Source organism: Homo sapiens, chromosome 3, assembly GCF_000001405.40.
Source record: "Homo sapiens chromosome 3, GRCh38.p14 Primary Assembly".
NCBI lineage: Eukaryota > Metazoa > Chordata > Mammalia > Primates > Hominidae > Homo > Homo sapiens.
Window position 1 is genome coordinate 53162470 of NC_000003.12, and position 20391 is coordinate 53182860.

Below are 20391 nucleotides of genomic sequence, written 5' to 3' on the forward strand. Positions count from 1 at the left end.
TCTCCTTGTGCTAAGTCACTGGTATCTGGGTGTGTGGGTATGTTGTGTGTCTGTGTCAGCTTCTGTGCTGTCTGTCACTGTGGGACTTGCCTGTGCATGTGTGTCCTTTTTCGCATGTGTGACTTGCTTGTGTGTATGTGTGTATGTCTGTTTGTGTCCTGAGGCTCTGTGTGTGTCTTTTGCAACTGTGTGTACCATTCTTGGTGTGTTTGTTGTCACCAGACTCGTGTGTGTGTGTGTGTGTGTGTGTGTCCTTGCCTGCTAGTGTGTGTGTCCCTGTGTGTCTGGAGGTTTCGGTGTTGCACACTGGGTATATCATGGTGACCAACTGGCCATGAGTACGTTAGATCTGTTAATTGTGGAAGCCCCTGGTGTTGGGTGCCTACCCACCAGTCTCATGTGTGAGTGTATCTGTATAAGTGTGTGTATGTGTGTGTACTCACGTGTGGCTCTCCCTCTGCCACTGAGTTTCTGTGACCAGGCCCACCTGGTCACTAAGGGAGGGGACTGATCCCTGGGGTTTCCTCGTTCCTGCTGTGGAGTGAGCTGGGGCTTGGTGAGCAGGCCAGCAGAGGGAGGCTGTATGGTGCATGTGTGATATGTGTGGTTGTGTGTGTGCGTGTGTGTGTGACAGAGAGGTGTGGTGGTGTCTGGGCAGCTGTACCTGGCTGATGGGTGGTGTGAGGGCTATGCGATGGGACAGTGCTGGGGTAAGCCTGGGAGTGTGTGGCCACGGTAGGAGTGTGTGACTGGTGGGACACAGTCTATGAAACTGCCGGTGTATGCTTGGGGAGTGACTGTGATTGTGGGGAACCGAGAGTGCCTGGGCGTGGGTGTTAGCGGCAGGAGGGGGTGTGACAAGGTGTGTGGTGACAGTGCTGGGAGGGAAGGTGAGAGCCCAGTGTGGGGGTGTGTGTGTGAGTGTGTGGGAGACCATGAGGATGTGGGTGTGCACATGGAGAGGGCTAGAGGGCAAGTCTTGGGGTTTGTAGTGTTGTGACCAAGACCTCGGGCTCTGTACCCAAGAATTATTTGGGCTCCAATACTTGCTTGTGCCTGTTAAGAGCAAGAGACCCAAGCTAGGCCTCTCAAGGCTGAGTGTCCTTATCTGCAGAATGGAGAGAGTGAGGACAAAAGTTCCTGTGTTAAAGGTCCTTTAACACAATCTTGGCCCATAGTGAGAACACAGCACATGTGAAGTCTTTTGTTGTCACCACCCCCAGCTATACGGTTCCCATTCTCCTGGGAGCTGGGGCTAAAGAAAGCCCAGACAGTATCCAACCCAATTTCCTGCCTGTCTGTTGCCCCTTCCCATCTCCTTGACCAAGCAGCTTGAGGGAGGGGGGATGCCCAGACAGAGCCCCCAGTACCCAGCCCTGTTCAGCCTGCATGACAGCCCCTCCCTCACCAGACCTTAGTGTCAGTAGTAGCGATGGGGGAGACAGGGGTGGGGGATGATTCAGAGCTGTGACTGCAGGGCGCTGACACCATTTAGCTGGCACAGTTTAGATTAAAATTAGAAATAATTTAAAGTACAGACAAAAAGATAAAGCCAAGGATGCCTCTGCCCCCAGGGAATGGTGATGGGGGTCTCCAGCTGGGGGAGGGGTTCACATCTGGGGAGCAGAATCTTTCTTAGAGGCTTGAGCTGGCCTTCAGAGAAAATGCTTAGGCCTTTCAGCCAGGAGACACAGAGTACCTTGCTACCTTTGCCATTTCTTCCTCCCAGGATATCTCCAGGCCTCAGTTTTTTCAGCTGTGTAATGGGCACAATAGTAATGTGAGAATCACCTGAACTGTAAGGCACAAGAGATTAAAAAATGTCACTCTTCAGTCTGGGCACGGTGGCTCACACCTGTAATCCCAGCATTTTGGGAAGCCGAGGCAGGTGGATCACTTGGTCAGGAATTTGAGACCAGCCTGGCCAACATGGTGAAACCCTGTCTGTACCAAAACTACAAAAATTAGCTGGGTGTGGTGGCGCGCACCTGTAATCTCAGCTGCTCAGGAGGCTGAGGCACGAGAATCACTTGAGACCAGGAGGCAGAGGTTGCAGTGAGCCAAGATCGTGCCATTGCACTCCAGCCTGGGCGATAGAGTGAGACCCTGCCACATTAAAAAAAAAAAAAAGTCACTATTCATTTGGCATTCTCAACATGAGTCCAGCACAGGAGCTGGCACGCCACATCATTGGAACCTCAGAACCACCTGGGGAGAAGAGGCTAGTAGTTTCCCCATTAAAAAAACTGAGGCTCAGGGAAATTGCACCAGGACATAAAGTGGTGGTACTTTGTTGCACCCTAGGACTCCTAAACCTGCAAGGCAACCTCCCACAGACAGGAGGGTCAGGAACAGGTTTTTGCTGTGTTATTGGCTTCCTCACCAGGCTGGAAATGTGCTCAGGGCAGGGACACAGTGTTCCAGCCCCTACCATGGAGTGGACAAATAGTGGTGCCCAGGAAAAGTTGGGCCCAACACCACATTTCAAGGAAGGGAAAGCCACATCCAGAGAGACCCGAGGTTTTAGGTCCAGGAGAGACTGAACTGGGCCCGTCAGCCATGCTGGGACTGGTAGACGGGGAGAGCCTGTTTGGCGGTGCCTCCCGGCTCAGCTGTTTCCTCCTGTTCCTACAGGTCTGCAGGGAACTGGCCAGGCAAGGGGGCAGGCCCGTTTCTCCTGGTGGTTGGTGCGTTGTAGCAGCAGCGGGAGCCAGGACTAAGGACAAGCAGGAGCTGGGAGCCCCAGGTAGGACTGAGTTCTCTTAGGCAGATGGATGGTGCACCGGTGTAGCCTTCCTCTCTGGCCTCTTTGTCCTTTGCTGTGGAACTGGATGGGGTTGGGCATGCATGCAGAGTCCTTGATCTGGTTGTGGGCCCTGTGTGCCCAGGGGCCGCAGCTGTTTGCCCTGTCTATGAGGGGCTCTCTGCTCATGAGGAACTTCCTGCCTAACCTGGCTGTGGCCCCAGAATGCTCTCACCTTGGAGCTCAGAGGCCTGGGGCCTACCATTAATTTGGGGCAAAAAGTAGTAACGCTTTTTTGGTCAGTTAGAGAGGGTGGCTCATGGGCCAAAGATTGAGGGTGGGTGTGTCAGCTTTTCCATGGCCCTGTATCTGCCTCAAACTCACCTCATCATCACACAAGGACACTGAAATTCCCCGTGGGCCCCACAGTGGGTTGGACACTGCAGGGGGATGGAATGGGGTCTCCAGCTCCAGGTACAGCTGAGCTGTCTTCCACACCCCAGGCCCCTCCATTTTCCCCAGCTTCTCTGGAGCCCGAGCAGGGCTCAGTCCCTCTCTTCAGCTTCCAGATTCAAGGGGAGCTAGGCAGAGTCTGGAACAATGCTGGGAAGGCTGCAGTCTCTTTGAATCCCCTCAGAAAGCTAGAAATTCCTTGTTTTGGGGCGAGCCTTGCCTCCTTCAGCCCTATTACCATGAAAACATTGCTGTGGGTGACTCCATACTCATTCCAGGCTGGTGACTGGGTGACCGGGCCCCAGTGAACAGGGTACTGGTGGTGGGTATGGGTGCTAATGAAGCTGGAGCCTCGGAGTAACAGTGGGGGGATAGCAAAGACCGTCTTTCCTCCAGGAGTGCTCCCTGAGCAGACCCTCACAGCCAACCCTACTGGCTGTTACGCACCTATAGGTCTGTGAGTAGAGCCATAAAGGCTGGGCTTCCTGGGCCTGACTCTGGGTTGGGGGCAGAAGGGAGGTCAGGGCCTTCACTCTGGGGTAGGAGTTGGGACAGAACAGGAGCAGTCTTCACTGGGCCTTCTGTGTATTGGACCTGTCCCTAAACCTGGTGTGGAGGAAGTAAAGCGCCTTTGGCTGTCTAGGGGCCTCTGCCACCTAAGTTCTGAAGAGCCAGCCCTTTCCGTCACTCAGCCTTGTTTTGTAAGGAGTTTGATTAGTCTTGGAGACAGCCCACTGTAAACCCTCAGACATCACCCTCCAGCTGCACAGACATATGCGTGCTCACACAGGGATATGGCAAGCTAGGCTGCAGTGGGCATGCACACCCACAGACTCATGAGTTCCTGTACGTGCACCACACATGTGGGCATGCAGGTACACAGGTGCTCACATGCAGCCACCCATGGCACACTCACACACACACAGATGCTCTCCCAGTTACCGTTGGCATCCATGCACTCAAATGCCTGCCCACACATACCGCACTGTGCCCATTCTGGGGTCAGGAAGGGGTCCCTGGTCAGAGTTACAGCCCAGTCAGGTCGCCTGCATCTGGCACCTGAGGGGCAAGTTCCAGGTGTGGCTGTGATCTCAGTAAGGGGGGCTGGGCCACCCTGGTAGGTGGGCTCTGCCCATGCATTCAGCAGCCACCCTGCCCACCTGGCCCCAGGCTCCAGGCCGACCAGGGATTGGCATGGGAGATGGGAGGCATGAATGCGGGGGAGAGGCTGTGTCAGCTGTGCCAGCACTGTGTGCCTGCTGCTACAGCAGAGGAAGTAGGCTGTCTGGCCATGGGGCCAAGGTGCTCACAGTGGGTGGGGGTCCTATCAACTCCTGTGTCCCCCACGGTGTCCATGCCTAGAGGGAGTGGAGTTGCTGGGCTCTAGGGACTGAGAGGTTGGCAGGGGCTGTCTGTTCACTTCCCAAAGCCTGGGCCTAGGAGAGAGGCCCATCTGTTCAAGGCGTTTCCGGAGGCTTACTTCCTCTGAGCTGCCCAGGAAGTGGTTTTGGAGTGGGACTGACCAGCCCTCTGTCAGTGGCTCTACGCCTTGCTCCGCCCCTGCCTTGCCTGCCCAGGGGAGCAGCGTCTGGCCACCGGGTTAGGCTGACTGACCAGGCTTTTCACTGCCAGGGCTGCCCAGGCCTTTTTGGGGGGCTCTAGGAGAAGGGCAGGGGGCAGGTCACGAAGTCCCCTGCAGTCCCCACAACCGTGGCTCCTTTCTTGCTCTGAGCCTGTAAGCCGAGGCTCAAGAGCATCAACTCTGGTAGGCATGGCCCCCTTGAGAGAGGTGATGGCTGGGCTGCATCTTAGTGACTAGGCAGCTCCCAGCAGCTCTATGAATGAACCTGGGCAAGTGGCTCTGCCGCTCAGTGCCTCAGTCTCCCCCTGACAGATGAGATAATGATAGCATCCATCTTGATGAGGTTGTGCGGAAATGACAGATAACATATGCAAAGTAGCTGGCATCGTGCTTAGTGCATTGTCAGAGTTGAATGAGTAGAAACTGTAGTTATGTAAAGCATTTAGAGCCCAGTTCATGGGAACTATTCAAAAAATAGCAAGTGGGACTGATGAGGGGGTATTATTATCTGATGGGCTGGGCACTGGCCCAGTGTTACATGGCCAGGTGGCTGTGGAGCCTGGCTGAGGAGCCAGGTCTCTGACTCCCTCATCCCCCTCAATTCTACCTCCAGTGGCAGTGCCCTACTTGTTCAGTAGGTTCCATGCCCTCCGAGGAGAGGAGCTCCTGTTGGAGCAGCTCCACCCACTCAGCAGTCCAGCCCCTGCCTGCTCTTCTCCCCCTCACTCCCTTTCAAAGGGAGAAAATAGATCTCGTGACAAATGGATGCAGGGAGGGGAAAGGCAGTCTGCAGCTGCCTGCTGCCCCCTCAGGGCTCCCCTTGGCCCTCTCCAGCTCTGGCCTCCTGCAGGACATTAGGCTGGGAGAATTGGCTGGGAACGAGGGGGTGGACGTAAGCCCTCCTGCCAGCCTGCTTACCCTTCAGACCCCTGGAGTCAGCCTGTGGGCTGGGGCAGGGAGTGGGCATCTGGGACTGATGGAAGCTAGAAGAGTAGGGGGAGCTAGAAAACCCCCTACACCCATGGCAGCTGGGGGCAGGGCCCAGCCTGTCCCAGGGACACGAAGAAGGTCAGCACAGTTAGGGTTGGGCTAAGCATTGGCCTTCACTGTGTGGGGCCCAGAGGCTGGGGATGAGGAGTGTTGAGGAGTGGTAAGGACAGTGATGCAAACAGCAGGGGCCTGAGGGCTGGAGAGCGAAAGGTGGATGGGCCTGGGCGGGAAGTGTGGTTGAGGGTATCCTGAAGGCTTAGGAGCAGGACTTCTGCAGGCATCAGACAGACCCTGGTTGAATCCTTGCTCAATATTTACTGGCTGTGCACACTTGAGCCAGGGACTGGACCGTTCCCCACTTGCCTCGTCTGTGAAATGGGCAGATCACGGGGTGTGGTGTCCTGTGAGACATGAACGATGGGAAGGAGCCACTGTGTGGGGTGGGGTGGAGCAGGAAGACGGAACAGCAAGCCCAGAGGCTCCTAAGCGGGAAGGAACTGGCTGCTTCGGGAACTGAAAGGGGTCAGCGTGGCTGGGGCACAGGAATGAGGGAAAGGCAGCGCCTGCCCGAGAGGTCAGGGAGGTAACGGTGATGGGGAGGGGGGTGGCGGGGGGCAGGCTGCATGGAGCAGGCTGAGGGGAGGAGTCTGGGCTTGTCAGAGGGGCAATGGGAGGCACTGGGGGCTTGGGCAGGGGGTGACAAAATCTGTCTGAAAAGCCCCGTCTGGTGGCTGGAACAGGGGGACTGTCGGGCCGGGGTAGAGGATGGAGAGCAGTCAGAAGACAGGTGCAGAGCCTGGGGATGGTGGTGGTGGGAGAAGAGGATTTGAGACTTGAGGACAGGCTGCAGCGGCAGACGGGATGGCCTTATTGTGTGGGGAGCAGGGGGAGCTGTCTGGCCTGAGCCACTGCCTGAGCTCGTGCACTCCTAGTGGATGAGGAGCGCTGGGAGGGGAACGGCGGGGGACTGGTGTGGGCAGGCTTGAGCTCTTCTGGAGTCATTCATGTGGTGAAGCCAGGGAGGCAGGTGGGGCCACAAGCCTGAAGTTCAGGAGGGTCTGGGCCCAAAGTAGAGACGGGAGCCTAAAGCCAGGATTGGGGAGGAGAGGGCTCAACAGGCCTTCTAAGGGGTGGGGGAGCATTTGAGAGGCCCACGAACAGGACTGGGATGGCTGTCCCTCAAAGGTCTCTGCCAAGGCACCCAGGAGGGCAGGCTTGTGGTGGCTGAGCCGCTGTTTTCACAACAGCTCCGGAAGCTTTGGATCATGTCTATGGCCGTGTTGGGTAAACAGGCAGAGCAGAGCAGGCAGTCGCCAAGGCCTGAGGCTAGATCAGATGTCTGCGTGGTGTAGGTTGTGGGCTGGGGTTGTTGGGGTGGGAGGAGGATCCCAGGGTCCTCCAGTGTCAGGGCTGGAGAAAGCTTAGAGGTCTCCATTGTTGAGACAGGGAGGCTGGAGCCCCGGGAGGGGCAGTAGCTGGCCAGCCTCTGCCAGTGGACTCATGCTGCCTGCTTCAGCCCAGTTCTGCCCAGAGCCTCAGGCCAGAACAGGGCACCCTGCGGCTGGGGGGCTTAACAGAGCCTCTTTTCCCACTTTCCAAGGAAGTCTGGAAGACACCAGAGCACTTGGGCCAAGATCGCGGAGCACCCAGGCAGCAGATCTGAGCTAGGCCTGTCTAGGTCCAAGCTCGCCGGTTCCTCTGTCCGCTGCCTGCTGTGGGATGGCGCACCATGCGGGATGGTCCTGCCTCTCTCCCAGCTTTCTCAATATCCCCAAAGTGGGGAAGCATCATGTGGATCCTGCCCAGATCCTGGGGATGACTGGCAAAAGGGTTAGGTGGCCATCTTGCCTTCTCCCAAACACAAAACGATTGTTTCCAATGGTAAACCATCTGGAAAATCGTGGGAACTCTGTGGGAGAAAGAAGGGCTAAGGAGTAGGGCTCTTGTACTGGGGGCTGATGGAGGAGCTGTTCCCATCTCCAAACACATACCCTCACCCCATTGGAGGCCAGATGGGCAGTTCTAGGACTAGAGCTGGAAGTTCTCTCCCCACTTCCCCCTGGGTCTGCCCCATTGGCTTTGTGGCTTTGGTTGAATTGCTCAACCTCTCTTTCGGTTTCTGCACAGTGAGCCTGGAGCTCAAGGAACTTGCTCCTGGGGTGCCCGGCTTGCTGCCCTACCAACATAGGTTCAAGCCCTCCCCTCCCCCTGCGCGCCAGGCCTGTGACTGCCACCTGTGACCTTCAACCTCCACCATAGCCTCAGGGCCCTGCAGGCAGGTGGGCGGGCGGGCGGAGGCCTGCCCAGTGATGTGCCTGACCAGCCCACTCCTTCCCTTACACACTTTAGACTTTGCTCTGGATCAAGAGGGACTTTCTTCGTCTCCCTGGGTGGAAAGGCCCAGCCTAGCCTGACACCAGCTGCCCTTCTGCCCCTCCTCCATTCCCCAGCCATTGTGCCTGGGGGCTGTGGTGGAAAAAGCTGCATTTGGACTTCATGGTGCCAGACTCTAGTCAGGGATGTGGGGTCCTTCCAGGACTGTATGTTTGTTTCTGTGTCTGCCTGGAGCATCTCTGTGCCAGTGTGTACATCACAGCTTGTGGCACTCCACGTGCGTGTGGAGCCTATGTGGTCGGGTGTGGTCTGTGTGGGCCCGGGTATCTGTTGAGATGTGAGAGCCGGTGAGTGCATGTGTGTTTCTGTGTGTGTGTGTGTGTGTGTGTACGTGTGCCCCTGTGTCATCACAGCAGTGTGTGTACGTACCTGTGGCTCCAACTGTGTGCGTGTGTGTCTAATGTCGAGTGGGGCTCCCTATGTGCTGTTTGGGTTGGCGAGTGTGCCTGTGTGCACACGTGTGGTTATTCGTGGAGAGGCCCGGCTGCATCCCCCACCCTGGCTCCTCACAGAGGCCCCTTGTCCTCACAGGATCTGGCTCTCTGGCTCCTGCCATGAAGGGGCCTTTGTTCCTCTCTCAGGGGTACCTGGGGCACCGCCCTCTGACTGAGCCCAGGACTCCTCATATCCTAGGGCTGGCTGGTGACTCGAGGCCTGTGCCTGGTGGCCTCCCTCCAAGGAGGCCCTACCCCACACAAGCTGGCAGAGGTGGATGTGAGCCGATGACAGCCAGGCTCCCAAGTCCTGCCCCTCTGAACCTTCCAGACCCTCTGGCAGGGCAGGCCATTATGCTCCTGCTGACCCCTCAGATCGAAGGCCCCCAGCCAACAGGTCCCTGCAGCCTCCGTTCTCCTCCAGCCCCCCTCACTCCCTGCTACTCACTGCCTGCGTGGCGCATCCTACAGAGGTCTTACCATCCTTTGTAATCACATATTTATGTGACTGGCTCCCACCAGGCTGTAAGTTCCATGGGCCTGGTGTGGCAGAGGTTACCAGTGGGAAAGCAGCTAGCTTCCTGAGAGGTGGGAAGGGTCCCCCAGGGCCAGCCTTCTGAGCTGCCTGGAAGGATCTGTGGGAATTCAGAAGGCTGTTCCAGCTGAGGGAACAACATCTGCAAAAATATGGGGGCTGGGAAATGAGACATATGTTCACAGAGTAGCCAGAACAGGGATTGAGGTAGAGAGCAGGACAGGGCCAGGGAGTGGGCAGTCTGGAAGGCCTGGAGAGGTCTGGGCTTTCTCCAGGGGCAGTGAGAGCCTAGGAGGTTCCCAGCTGTGGGAAGAATGGGTAGGGGAGGGACCAGAGATGGTGACAACCGGGAGGGAGCTGGGTAAGGGGAGGAGAGGCCACAGGTACTGGTTGGTCTGTGTGGGGTGAGGGAGGGGCCCAGGAGGAGCGCTGGCTGGGGGATGAGGTACCTGTCCTGGGAGGAGCAGGTATGGGGAGCATCCCTGCTCTGGGACTTGGCTGTGACCTGAGTCCATAGATCTGGTTCTTATCTCAGCACAGGGCTGGGCATGTGGAGGCTGGGGGATGGGCCCTGGTGGAGGAACCCTAAAGGGTCTTGCTAGCCTTTCCCCTCCCACCTCCTGTTCCTCTTGCTGAGCCCACTTCCTGGGTTGTGAAACCTGCATGGCCTCCTTGCCTTGTTTCCGCTGGGAAGGCCATCTAGGCAGCCAGCCTCCCAGCCCAGCTACCACCCACCTGCCTACCCAACCTGGCAGCTCCACCATGCCCGGCCCCCTTGCCCTGCCGTGACTGCCGGTACCAGTCCTGCACCCTCCTGCTGATCACACTTCCTCTCACTGTCCTTTCTGCCCCTGCCTGGGCCTTGGTCTCCTCCGCCCTCCTTTATTCATCCACAAGGCTCTGGCAGGCTACACTGTGGACTCCCCCAGGCAGAGTCTGCATCCTTAGGAGGGCCCTCACTTTGTGCCACCTGCCATGCAGTTGTGACTTCCGTGGCAGGTGTCAGGTGTGTGGGGGAGAAGGCTGCAGTAGGTGGCATGGGGGACATCCCCTGCTCCCCGGGGGTCTGTTCAAGGGAACCAGACCGCCCTATACCCACCAGGGGCTGCAACTGGTCTTTCATTGCCCTTGCTTTGACTGACCTCAGCCTGTCACCTCATTTCTCCCATAGACGTTTCTGAGGCAGCCTCCCTCTGCTCTCACACACCTCCCCGCCAGCAGCCTGATCAAGCCTCTTTCCTCCAGCCCAGCTTACTCCTCTGACCAACAGGCATCATTCTGTGGCCTGTGAGGCAGAATTGAACACCAGGGAAGGGGTGGGGTGGAGGGGACCAGGCCGGATCTGGGAGCCAGGGAACCTCACTGCAGGACCTTGGCCTTAGTTTCCTCCTCTGTACAATGAGGAGATGGGCATGTCAGTCTCTGAAGACCTATCTCTTGTGGAGAGATTGTTGGGGTTTTTCACCTTTGACAAAACCATTATCCAACAAGTTACATGTGATGCAGAAAAATTAGCAAATGCATTCCTGTTCCTGCTGGCGCTCCTCAGGCCATGTCCCTCACCCCAGCCTCCTGTGCTGGTATACATCAGCACACGTGTGGATGTGCAGCACACATACTTGTCTGCTGGAGGCAACCAGGACTTCTGTGCCCGGGAGCTCCAAACCCAAGGTCGCTCTGATCACCTTGAGGCCAGCCTTGCCCACTGCCGGGTACTGGCTGGGAACAGGTTTCCATTTGTCCCAGAGGAGGTGACCTGCCTTCTCTGGCCTGACCTAGCTACTACCTTTCCTTACCTCTGGGCTGCTGATCTGGGGCTCACATTCCCTGGGGCTGGGATCCAGTGTGTCCAAGCCTTCCCTAGGTTTTGTTTTTGTTTTATTTGTTTTTAGTTTTTTTCAGACAGAGTGTCACTTTATTGACCAGGCTGGAGTGCAGTGGCAAGATCTCGGCTCACTGCAACCTCTACCTCCCGGGTTCAAGTGATTCTTCTGCCTCAGCCTCCCAGGTAGGTGGGATTACAGGTGTCCGCCACCACACCTGGCTAAATTTTGTATTTTAGTAGAGAAGGGGTTTCACTTGTTGGCCAGGCTGGTCTTGAACTCCTGACCTCAGGTGATCTGCTCACCTCAGCCTCCCAAAGTATTGAGATTACAGGTATGAGCCACCATGCCTGGCCCTTCCCTGGGTTTTGGAAATGGAGGCTGGTCCAAGTGGCGAGGTCACGGGGGAAGACCACTGGTCAAGCATGGGGTACCTGTCTCTTGGAGCCCTTACCTCCCTGTTTTCTCTGTCTTCATGTGTGTTTGTGTGTGCTGATCTCCACCTCTACCGTCTTCCGTCCATCTCTACCCTTTTCTCTCTCTTTGTCTCTTCTTCCCAACATGGCATACTGGAAAGGACCTGGGCTGCAACATCGGGCAGGCCTGGATTTATCCTTCCATCACTTACTGGCTGTGTGACCTTTTGGAAAGTCACTTTGCTTCTCTGAGCTTTAGTTTCTTCATCAGTAAAATCCCTTCTGGATCCGCATAGGGATAACGTGAGCTAATGTAATTACAGAGGTAATCTGCGACATTGTCGGCCTCAGAAAAGGACTGTCCTTCTTGTAAGTGGAGGAGCCAAGATTCATACCTAGACACTGACCCTTAGTCTGGTGCTTTGTGCTTCATAAAGCTGCCTCTGCTGTAGGCTGGAGAAGCAGAATAGAGACTAGGAGCCCTTAGGCAGCTGGGAAAGGCCTGGCTGGCCTCAGCTGGCTCCAAGGAGCTTGTCCCCATGGAGGCTGTGTGGGGTCGAGCCCCCGGCACCCCCTGGCCCTGCAGAGTGGCCATGAGTCTGGGGCTGAGCCAGCGGCCTTCCTCTGGGGCCTCCGTGGCCCAGGTCCTATTTGCATGGGGGCTATAAATAGTCAGCACACCTTGCTTTTGTGCTGCTGCTTCACCCCCATCTCCCTGCCATACACTCTGAGAGGTAGGGGGCAGACTCTGACTCTGCTGTGCAGAGCAGGGACTTGTGGCTCAGAGAGGCCCAGGACCTCTCTGAGGGTCACACAGTGATGGAAGAAGATGTGGGGCTCTGGGTAGTACAAACAGGGACAGAGTTGGTGGCAGAACCTGGCCAGAGCCCATGCCCTGGTTTTAGTCTTAGGAGGTTGGGTCTGACGCTATGGTTACTGCTGGTTAGTCTCAGGGCAGCCCACGAAGACCATGGCTCCCCAGTTCTCATGGCACTGCAGCCTGGCAGTGCAGGTTTAGGGCTGGGGCCTGCTGTGTTTGTGGTTTTCCCTCCAGTGGCTTCTAAATGTGAGCAGCAGCTGCTCTGAGTGTGGCCTGAGAGAGCTGGAGGGCCACCCTTGGGTGGGCAGGTCCTGGGCTCTGCCTCACCCTCCTGGGGCTTCTCTGACCCACTGTCTCCTCCACCCTCCATGCAGTCCTGGGGTGGTCCCCACGCATACCTCCTGCTGGGCAGGCCGGGGGTAGGGGAAGCCATGGAGCCTGTGGGCTGTCAGGGCTGGGCCCCAAGGGTTGGTGGCTGGGAGGAGGACCTGGCTGGCCGGTGTTGGAGCATCTGGTGCTCCTGAGTGAGTTGTATGTTCATGGAGACCTGGTTTCCCTTTCTGAGCAGTGGGATCTGTAACCAGGACTGTCTTCCCAGGCTGCTGGGCAGGCGGAATGGATGCGGTGGGGGATGCGAGTGCGCTTTGTAAACTGCGAAGGGAGGTGCACAGTGAGGGATGGGTGCCGCAGTGAGGGGGGTGATAGTGGTAAGAGGAACCCCCTCCCCATGGCCTGTTGGGTTGATTGTAGCCCTTATCCTACGTGAGTTCTCATTATCCCCACAACCCTGAGCCAAGAGACTATTGCTCATCAGGAAATGGGGGGGCTGAGGCTCAGAAAGGTCAAGTGACCTGCACAGAGTCCACAGCCAAGGCAACGTTGGTGTCAGGATGCAGCACCCAGGCGGCCTGGCCATCATTTTGCCATATGTGCTGCCCTGAGCCTCTCTCCCCTAGGAGCCCAGGCCACCTGCAACACACTTGCTCCTCCTTTATCCCTGTGCCCCTGTCCCCTCAACCCTCATCATCCTCCGAGGCACTCAGAAGTTGCCTACTGCCCCATCTGGGTCTCCAGGTTTTCCTAACAGCAGAGCTGCATCTGCTGGGATTAGGCCCTGGATGTGTGGACACAGACCTGCCAATCATTCCAGACCCAGGGAGCACTCACCTGGGTGCTGGATCTCTTGGACCCTCAGGGACAAGCCAGGCAGCAAAAGGGGCAAGATGTCCATCTTGCTTACGGGTTTGGGATGCTCACCCAGATTCCTGCACATGTGCGAGGCCAGGCCCACGCAGCTTGCTTTTCACTCCAGTATCAACTGAGTGCCCACCATGTGCCACCCACTCCCATGGCTGTATATAATCACATTCCTGTAGACCCGTGCAACCTCACACACACCGATTCATGCATGCTGCAGCCTGGGGAGCAGCCAGCAGCAGCCCCCAACTGGCCCTCTCTCCCTGGCCCACCAAGAGGTCAAGGGCAGCTGGCCTGGCACACAGGCCACCTGCTGGTGTCAGGCTGAAGGCTTCGGGACTTGGGCTCAGGCATGAGCTTGCACACCCACTCTCACATCCACTGAGTAGGAGCCAGGGCCGGGCAAGGAATGTGGTGGGGTCTGCCCCTGCCCTGCCTGGGTCCTGCTCTCTGCTTTGGCAGCTGCTGGCCTCAGAGGGCTGCCTGGACTCACTGGGCTGGGCTGCAGGGTGAGGTCAGCATTTGCTGTGAGCTCATCTGAGCTGGGAGCTCCCAGCAGAGCTGGCCACTGCTCTGGCCACCTTGTGCAGGAGCTGGAGGAAGTCATCTGGGGCTGGGCAGCTGTTGTGTGTGCATGCACACGTGTGTGTCTGAGTGTGCCCCTGTGTGCTGGCTTATGTTCAGGATGGAGTGAATACATGTGCATGTGCACAAAATCGAATGAGCGCTCCCTCAACCAAGGCTATGGAGCAGCCTTGTGGGGCCTGGGCAGGAGCCAGTGTGCACATAGGTGCTTGCACACCTGTGTGTCCTTCACAAGTGGCAACCTGAGGAGCCCCTTGGAGTCACTTACTGTAGTGAACATTAACTTAGAGAATGGTGAGAAACCCAGGAGTGTGGGAGGCTGCTGTGTATGAATCTGCAAGGCACATTCAGCGTTACATTCAACATTAAAATACAGTTTGGGTTTTTTTTAATTTTTATTTTTCTGAGGCAGAGTCTCGCTCTGTTGCCCAGGCTGGAGTGCAATGGCGCAGTCTCAGCTCACTGCAACCTCTGCCTCCCAGGTTCCAGCCATTCTTCTGCCCTCAGCCTCCCAAGTAGCTGGGATTATAGGCATGCGCCACCACGCCTGGCTAGTTTTTGTATTTTTAGTAGAGATGGGGTTTCACCATGTTGGCCAGGCTGGTCTCGAACTCCTGACCTCAGGTGACTCGCCTGCCTTGGCCTCCCAAAGTGCTGAGATTACAGGCATGAGCCACCGCGCCTAGGCAGTTTGGGTTCTTTTTTTAAGAGATAGGGTCTCACTCTGCCACCCATGCTGGAGTGCACTGCGTGGCACTCTGCTGCCTTGAACTCTTGGCCTCAAGCGATCCTCTTACCTTGGCCTCCTGAAGTACCAAGATTATGGGAGTGAGCCACCATGCCCACCTGTTTTATATTTGGGGAAATAATTAGTTTGAAGGTGCAGGCAACCTTCCAGGCAAGCGAGAGGCACTCGACCCCAAGGGGTCAATTTAGAAGGGTCAGGCACACTGATGTGGGCAGAGCCTCTCACTGCCCTGATCCCTGAACAGAGTGGGTGCCAAGTTAGTGGAATGTCAGCTTTTGGTTCTGATTCTCTGCCTTAGGGTTTCAGTTTCCCCATCTGAAAAGTGGGGGGTGTTTATCTTGGCACTGCTTGTCTGCCTGGGTAGTTATGAAGAAAAAACCCCAAACTTAGAAAATCATGAAGGGCTGCATGGGGCAGGATGGGAGAAAGAGGCAGTACTGTCCTGTCCCCTTACCAGGTGACAATGGCACATACCAGGTGCCTGGCATGGAGCAGGTACCCAGCAATAGGGTACTTAGGGAGTCACTGAGTGACTCCCCAAATGAATATCTAGGGGTGACAGATGCAAATGCCACCAGGGCCCAGGTAGGAGGAGTGAAGAGAGTGCCCCTGGCCTGGGGTAGATTGATGGAGGGCAGCCATCCCAGTGCTAGCTGGCTGTTGCCCAGTGGGCCCAACATCACATTTTCCAGTTTTACCAGAGACGCCGCAAATCCAGACTTACATAAACCTCTCAATATTTTTCTTTTTCTTTTTCTTTTTTTTTTTTTTTTGAGACGGAGTTTGGCTCTTGTCACCCAGGCTGGAGTGTACTGGTGCGATCTTGGCTCACTGCAACCTCCGCCTCCCGGGTTCAAGTGATTCTCCTGCCTCAGCCTCCCGAGTAGCTGGAATTACAGGCATGCACCACCACACCCAGCTAATTTTTAGTAGAGATGGCTTTTCACCATGTTGGTCAGGCTGGTCTCAAACTCCTGACCTCAGGCCATCTGCCTACCTTGGCCTCCCAAAGTGCTGGGATTACAGGCGTCAGCCACTGCGCCTGGCAAACCTCTCAGTTTTTAACACTGGCAACTGAGACTAGTGTGTGTGTGCATCATGTGGGCCAAACCCAATCATAGCAGAGCCCTGGGGGAGCGGGTCCCTGAGTGCTGCCCGTGACTGTTCCCGCTGGTCCCGCCCGGCCGCCTGGCCTCACCCCTCTGTGTGCACAGCCCCACTGCAGGCCCCACCATGGCGCCGTTCCTGCGCATCGCCTTCAACTCCTATGAGCTGGGCTCCCTGCAGGCCGAGGACGAGGCGAACCAGCCCTTCTGTGCCGTGAAGATGAAGGAGGCGCTCAGCACAGGTAGGCCTGGAGGCTGGACCCTGGAGAGGGGCTGGGAATCTGGGCCCAGCTGGAAGGACTGGAGGGGGCCTGGCCTTGTTCCCTGCAACCTCTGAAGGATTCTGCTCTTCCTCATCCTTGACTCCCTGCCCCACTCAGCTATGAAGGCAGAGGCCACTGAGTCGCTATAGGGCTGCAAACACTGGCCAAATTGAGCCCTCCTTGGAAGGCTTGGAGTTTCTGGTTCCTCCTCCCTGGTTGTTTTACCCAGCAATTTTTACATGTCCATTTGTGCCAGGGCCTGTGCGGGGCACTGAGGATACTGTCATGCTCCAGGACTAACCTGGCCCTGCCCTCATGGGGTTCATAGTCAGGTGGGGAAACCAGGCACGTCAAAAAGCAGTGAGTCCTGCAATAGGGAAGCCCAGAGAAGGCACCCTCTGAACCTGAGGTCAGGGAGGACTTCCTGGAGGAAGCACATACCTCACATCATTCCCTCTTGCTTTTGCCCTGGCCTGGTGAACCCCTATTTGTCCCTCAGGTCTCGGCTGAACTGTTCCTTCCTCTAGGAAATCTTCCCTGACCCTTAGGCTTGACCCTGTAGCACTACCAGCCTTGCCCTCTTCAGTCTCATCACAACTGTGACTTAACAGTTACTTGAGGAAGGAGTTGGTGCATTCGCCACCCGGGCCTGGGGATCCAGGAGGACAGGCCCTGGATGTAGCTTTTCTTTCAGCTGTGTTCTGCGCCTCGAATATTATGGCTGGCATGCAGGAGCTGTCAGCCCATGTTCCCTGCATGAATGCATAAGGGCAGGCGACATTTAAATGGAGCTGGAGCAAGAGGATCAGAGGAAGAGGGAACAGCAGGAACAAAGGCCTGGAGGGAGGACCTAGCAGGGTGCCCAAGGTAGTTCTGTGCTCTAGAGGACACTGGGGAACCACAGCAGGCCCTCAAGGCAGGAGAGTCGGGCAGATTCTGCCAGGGGAAGGCCGTGGAGGTCTACGAGGGAGGGACAGAGGGGCCATGGCCCAACCTTCTCTGCCTGGCCTTGTTGCAGAGCGTGGGAAAACACTGGTGCAGAAGAAGCCGACCATGTATCCTGAGTGGAAGTCGACGTTCGATGCCCACATCTATGAGGGGCGCGTCATCCAGATTGTGCTAATGCGGGCAGCAGAGGAGCCAGTGTCTGAGGTGACCGTGGGTGTGTCGGTGCTGGCCGAGCGCTGCAAGAAGAACAATGGCAAGGCTGAGTTCTGGGTAAGGGGCGCACGAGCCGTGCCGTGTGTGTGTGTGTGTGTGTCTGTGTGTGTGTGCATGCGTGCATGTGTGTGCGTGCACACACGCGGGCTTGGTCAGTGAGCACAGCTGAAGAGCACCGGGCCCTGTGCTGGCCACCAGTCCAGCCCTGTGGCCAACATGTCCTGGGTGTGAATCCTGGCTCTGCAATTCACCAGATTCCCAGCCTCTCTGAGCTTCTGCTTCCGCATCTGTTAAGGGAAGGCGCTACTAAATGTGCCTACCTCAGGGTCAGTTGTTCAAATGAAAGGAGCAGCTGGATGTACAGGGCTTATTGCAGAACCTGACACATAGCAGGTGCTAAAGACGGCCAACTTCCTTATTGTGACTACTTTTTCCTTTTTAATTTTGGAAAGGCAGGATATGCACATAGTAAAACATTTTTAACTGCATGAAAGGGTGTGTCCCTGCCCCAACACCAGGCCACCAGGCCTCCTTCCCAGAGGCACCCATTATCCCAGTTCTTTTTGGAATCTTCGCATATATTCTAGGCCTTGGCAGCCATTGAGGGGGCAACATAGTGATCTTTAACAGCAAGGAGGTGGGAGAAGGGGAGGCTGACGGTCTCATCTACTTACCTGCTGAAATGGAGACTCTGCACAAGCATGTGGCCACTTGGCCATGTGCAGCTGTGTGTTCTGGGTGGCCACAGGATGCCAGTGCTGGCAGAAGTCCCCTGGGGTTACATGTGGGATGTAACCAAGATGTCTCCACCAGGAAAGGCCCTGTGACCATTGGAGGCTCTGATCAGCCTCCTGCGAGGGGTGAGGGGGCTGGGATGGGAGAGAGGTTAACACAGGGCTGTACTGACCCTTGGCCAGTCAGGCAGGGACACAGAGGGGCCTCTGGCTGTGCTGTCTCCGCTCCCCCAAGGGAGGATATCAGTCACCAGGTCTAGGTCTTGGGGGAGGTGAGGGGATAGAGGCTCAGGTCCCACCCTCGAGACTGTCCAATCTGCATGAGGAGCCCTCGGCACAGAGGGAGGAGCAGCGTGTGTGCACGAGGATGAGTGTGTCTGTGTGTCTGTCTCTCTCCGCATGTGCACACGGGTAGGGGCCTCCATTCTAAGATCCTTGCTAAGGGAGCTGCAGCGGGTAGGGGTGGGGAATTTCCCTTCCCGCTCTATTCCCCAGCTATGTGTCTGGGCTGGGTGTGGGCTGGACCCTTTCACTTCCCTAAATGTAATAATACCCCTGGGTACAGGGTGGGGGTGGGGCTCAGGAGTGGGGCTCAGGCGGGGCCCTGCCCACACTGGGCAGACAAGTGTCTGGCTAGGCCTTGGGGGGCTGCCTTGGCCTTGGGGGACCAGCCATGGGGGTGGGTTCTGAGTTTGGCCTGGCCCAGGCTGCCCTCACTGACCTTGTTCTCCCCTGGCCTCTGGCCCCCAACAGCTGGACCTGCAGCCTCAGGCCAAGGTGTTGATGTCTGTTCAGTATTTCCTGGAGGACGTGGGTAAGAACTCCCTGGGGGTGGAGGGCTCCCTTGCCGGGTTCAGAGGCAGAGCCAGCACTGAGGTGTAGGGAAGCTGCTCCCTTCGGCAGAGCTGTCCAGGACCACCCTGGGAGGGACTGTAGGGGTGCCACCCCTTCCAGATACCAGGGCTGACTTCCCTACTCCATGGTCACCAGATTGCAAACAGTCTATGCGCAGTGAGGACGAGGCCAAGTTCCCAACGATGAACCGCCGCGGAGCCATCAAACAGGCCAAAATCCACTACATCAAGAACCATGAGTTTATCGCCACCTTCTTTGGGCAACCCACCTTCTGTTCTGTGTGCAAAGACTTTGTCTGGTGAGAACCGGCCATGCCCACTGGTGGTGGTGCAGGGTAGTGGGGGCCGATCCCGGTCCCCGCTCACTCACTTTGCCTGGGTTTTGCCTTTCAGGGGCCTCAACAAGCAAGGCTACAAATGCAGGCGTAAGTGTCTCCACAGGCCAGTTTGTACGTATGTACCCATGTGTGCTCACGTGTGCCAGTGCCTGTGTGTATGCCAGTGCCTGTGTGCGCTCAGAGAGTGTATGCACGTGAGTTTTCCCAGTGTAGATACAGCAGCTGAGTTCAGTGAGTGCTGGGGCTGGCTTGCTGCTGCTCTGGAAAACCAGTTCTGCGCATCTCTTCCCAGCTCCGCATTCAGTGACGGGGAGTTGGTGGATGGCAATTGGGCACAGTAGAGTATTCACGCAGAAACCAGCCCAGGCCATGCACCAGGCCTCTTTTCCTCGGAGAGGCAATGATAGGTCCTTTACTGGCACATAGTGGCTGCATGTGCTTCTGTGTAGATGTGGGTGTCTCTGAGTACACAGGTGTGAGCACACTCTGTCCCTGAGGGTGTATACACGAGGCGCCGCAGGCTGGAGTCAGACTGCCTGGGTTTGAATCCCAGCTCTACCACTTCCTAGCTATAGGGCCTTAGGCAAAGTTACTTAACCTCTCTGTGCCTCAGTTTCCTCATCTATAATTTTTTTTTTTTTGAGACTGAGTCTCATTCTGTTGCCCAAGCTAGAGTGCAGTTGTGCGATCTCAGCTCACTGTAACCTCCCTCTCCAAGGTTCAAGCGATTCTCTTGCCTTAGCCTCCTGAGTAGCTGGGATTACAGGCGTGCACCACCATGCCCGGCTAATTTTTGTATTTTTAGTAGAATAGGGGCTTTGTCATGTTGGCCAGGCTGGTCTCAAACTCCTGACCTCAAGTGACTCACCCACCTCAGCCTCCCAAAGTGCTGGGATTATAGGCGTGAGCCATCGTGCCTGGCCCTCATCTATAAATTAGATATAACTATAATGTATAATAGGGTCATTGTGAAGATCAAATGGAATAAGATATGTAAAGCTGTATTTTAAGTGCCTTCCACTGGTAGCCGCTCTGTGTAAGAAGTCTGTTATCATTATTACACATGCTTTGTGTGTATGTACAGGTGTCTGTTTTGAGGCGTGTCCATGTGCATGTGTAAGAGAGGGCATTTAGGAGCCGTTTGCTATCCCAGGGCTTGGAAGAACTGCCCCCGCTTCTCATATTGCGATGCCCTGTGCCCGCTAACTTCTGCCC

The 20391-nt window shown here is 56.4% G+C and overlaps 1 protein-coding gene across 9 annotated transcripts in view, besides 9 other annotated features; it reads left to right on the plus strand.

Moving 5' to 3' along the window:
* The window catches only part of PRKCD (protein kinase C delta), a 31509-nt gene that overhangs the window by 1261 nt on the left and 9857 nt on the right, over positions 1-20391 (plus strand). For 2 of the 9 annotated variants that reach the window (NM_006254.4, NM_001316327.2), the window contains exons 2-7: positions 2635-2746; positions 15935-16068; positions 17108-17307; positions 18738-18798; positions 18975-19137; positions 19232-19263. In NM_006254.4, the coding sequence (NP_006245.2) occupies positions 15954-16068; positions 17108-17307; positions 18738-18798; positions 18975-19137; positions 19232-19263 (571 nt within the window). In that variant the 5' untranslated portion in view covers positions 2635-2746; positions 15935-15953. Of the gene's footprint in view, positions 1-12; positions 2747-6233; positions 6352-11023; positions 11140-15934; positions 16069-17107; positions 17308-18737; positions 18799-18974; positions 19138-19231; positions 19264-20391 lie in introns of those variants that run through there. The other 7 variants (XR_007095706.1, NM_001354676.2, NM_001354680.2 and 4 more) reach the window with 6 other exon arrangements.
* Positions 4940-5049: an enhancer, noted in NCBI's record as "active region_19959". NCBI's record gives its function as "activates an Ori minimal core promoter by ATAC-STARR-seq in GM12878 lymphoblastoid cells {active_cell/tissue: GM12878}" and the evidence as "EXISTENCE:reporter gene assay evidence [ECO:0000049][PMID:35858748]".
* Positions 5060-5129: an enhancer, noted in NCBI's record as "active region_19960". NCBI's record gives its function as "activates an Ori minimal core promoter by ATAC-STARR-seq in GM12878 lymphoblastoid cells {active_cell/tissue: GM12878}" and the evidence as "EXISTENCE:reporter gene assay evidence [ECO:0000049][PMID:35858748]".
* Positions 5245-5925: an enhancer, noted in NCBI's record as "H3K4me1 hESC enhancer chr3:53201730-53202410 (GRCh37/hg19 assembly coordinates)". NCBI's record gives its function as "activates a minimal SCP1, AML or CMV promoter by ChIP-STARR-seq in primed H9 embryonic stem cells {active_cell/tissue: H9 hESC(primed)}" and the evidence as "EXISTENCE:reporter gene assay evidence [ECO:0000049][PMID:30033119]".
* Positions 5926-6606: an enhancer, noted in NCBI's record as "H3K27ac-H3K4me1 hESC enhancer chr3:53202411-53203091 (GRCh37/hg19 assembly coordinates)". NCBI's record gives its function as "activates a minimal SCP1, AML or CMV promoter by ChIP-STARR-seq in primed H9 embryonic stem cells {active_cell/tissue: H9 hESC(primed)}" and the evidence as "EXISTENCE:reporter gene assay evidence [ECO:0000049][PMID:30033119]".
* Positions 7803-7852: a silencer, noted in NCBI's record as "silent region_14461". NCBI's record gives its function as "represses an Ori minimal core promoter by ATAC-STARR-seq in GM12878 lymphoblastoid cells {active_cell/tissue: GM12878}" and the evidence as "EXISTENCE:reporter gene assay evidence [ECO:0000049][PMID:35858748]".
* Positions 10352-10401: an enhancer, noted in NCBI's record as "active region_19961". NCBI's record gives its function as "activates an Ori minimal core promoter by ATAC-STARR-seq in GM12878 lymphoblastoid cells {active_cell/tissue: GM12878}" and the evidence as "EXISTENCE:reporter gene assay evidence [ECO:0000049][PMID:35858748]".
* Positions 12378-13233: an enhancer, noted in NCBI's record as "H3K27ac-H3K4me1 hESC enhancer chr3:53208863-53209718 (GRCh37/hg19 assembly coordinates)". NCBI's record gives its function as "activates a minimal SCP1, AML or CMV promoter by ChIP-STARR-seq in naive H9 embryonic stem cells {active_cell/tissue: H9 hESC(naive)}" and the evidence as "EXISTENCE:reporter gene assay evidence [ECO:0000049][PMID:30033119]".
* Positions 18443-18492: an enhancer, noted in NCBI's record as "active region_19962". NCBI's record gives its function as "activates an Ori minimal core promoter by ATAC-STARR-seq in GM12878 lymphoblastoid cells {active_cell/tissue: GM12878}" and the evidence as "EXISTENCE:reporter gene assay evidence [ECO:0000049][PMID:35858748]".
* Positions 18753-18912: an enhancer, noted in NCBI's record as "active region_19963". NCBI's record gives its function as "activates an Ori minimal core promoter by ATAC-STARR-seq in GM12878 lymphoblastoid cells {active_cell/tissue: GM12878}" and the evidence as "EXISTENCE:reporter gene assay evidence [ECO:0000049][PMID:35858748]".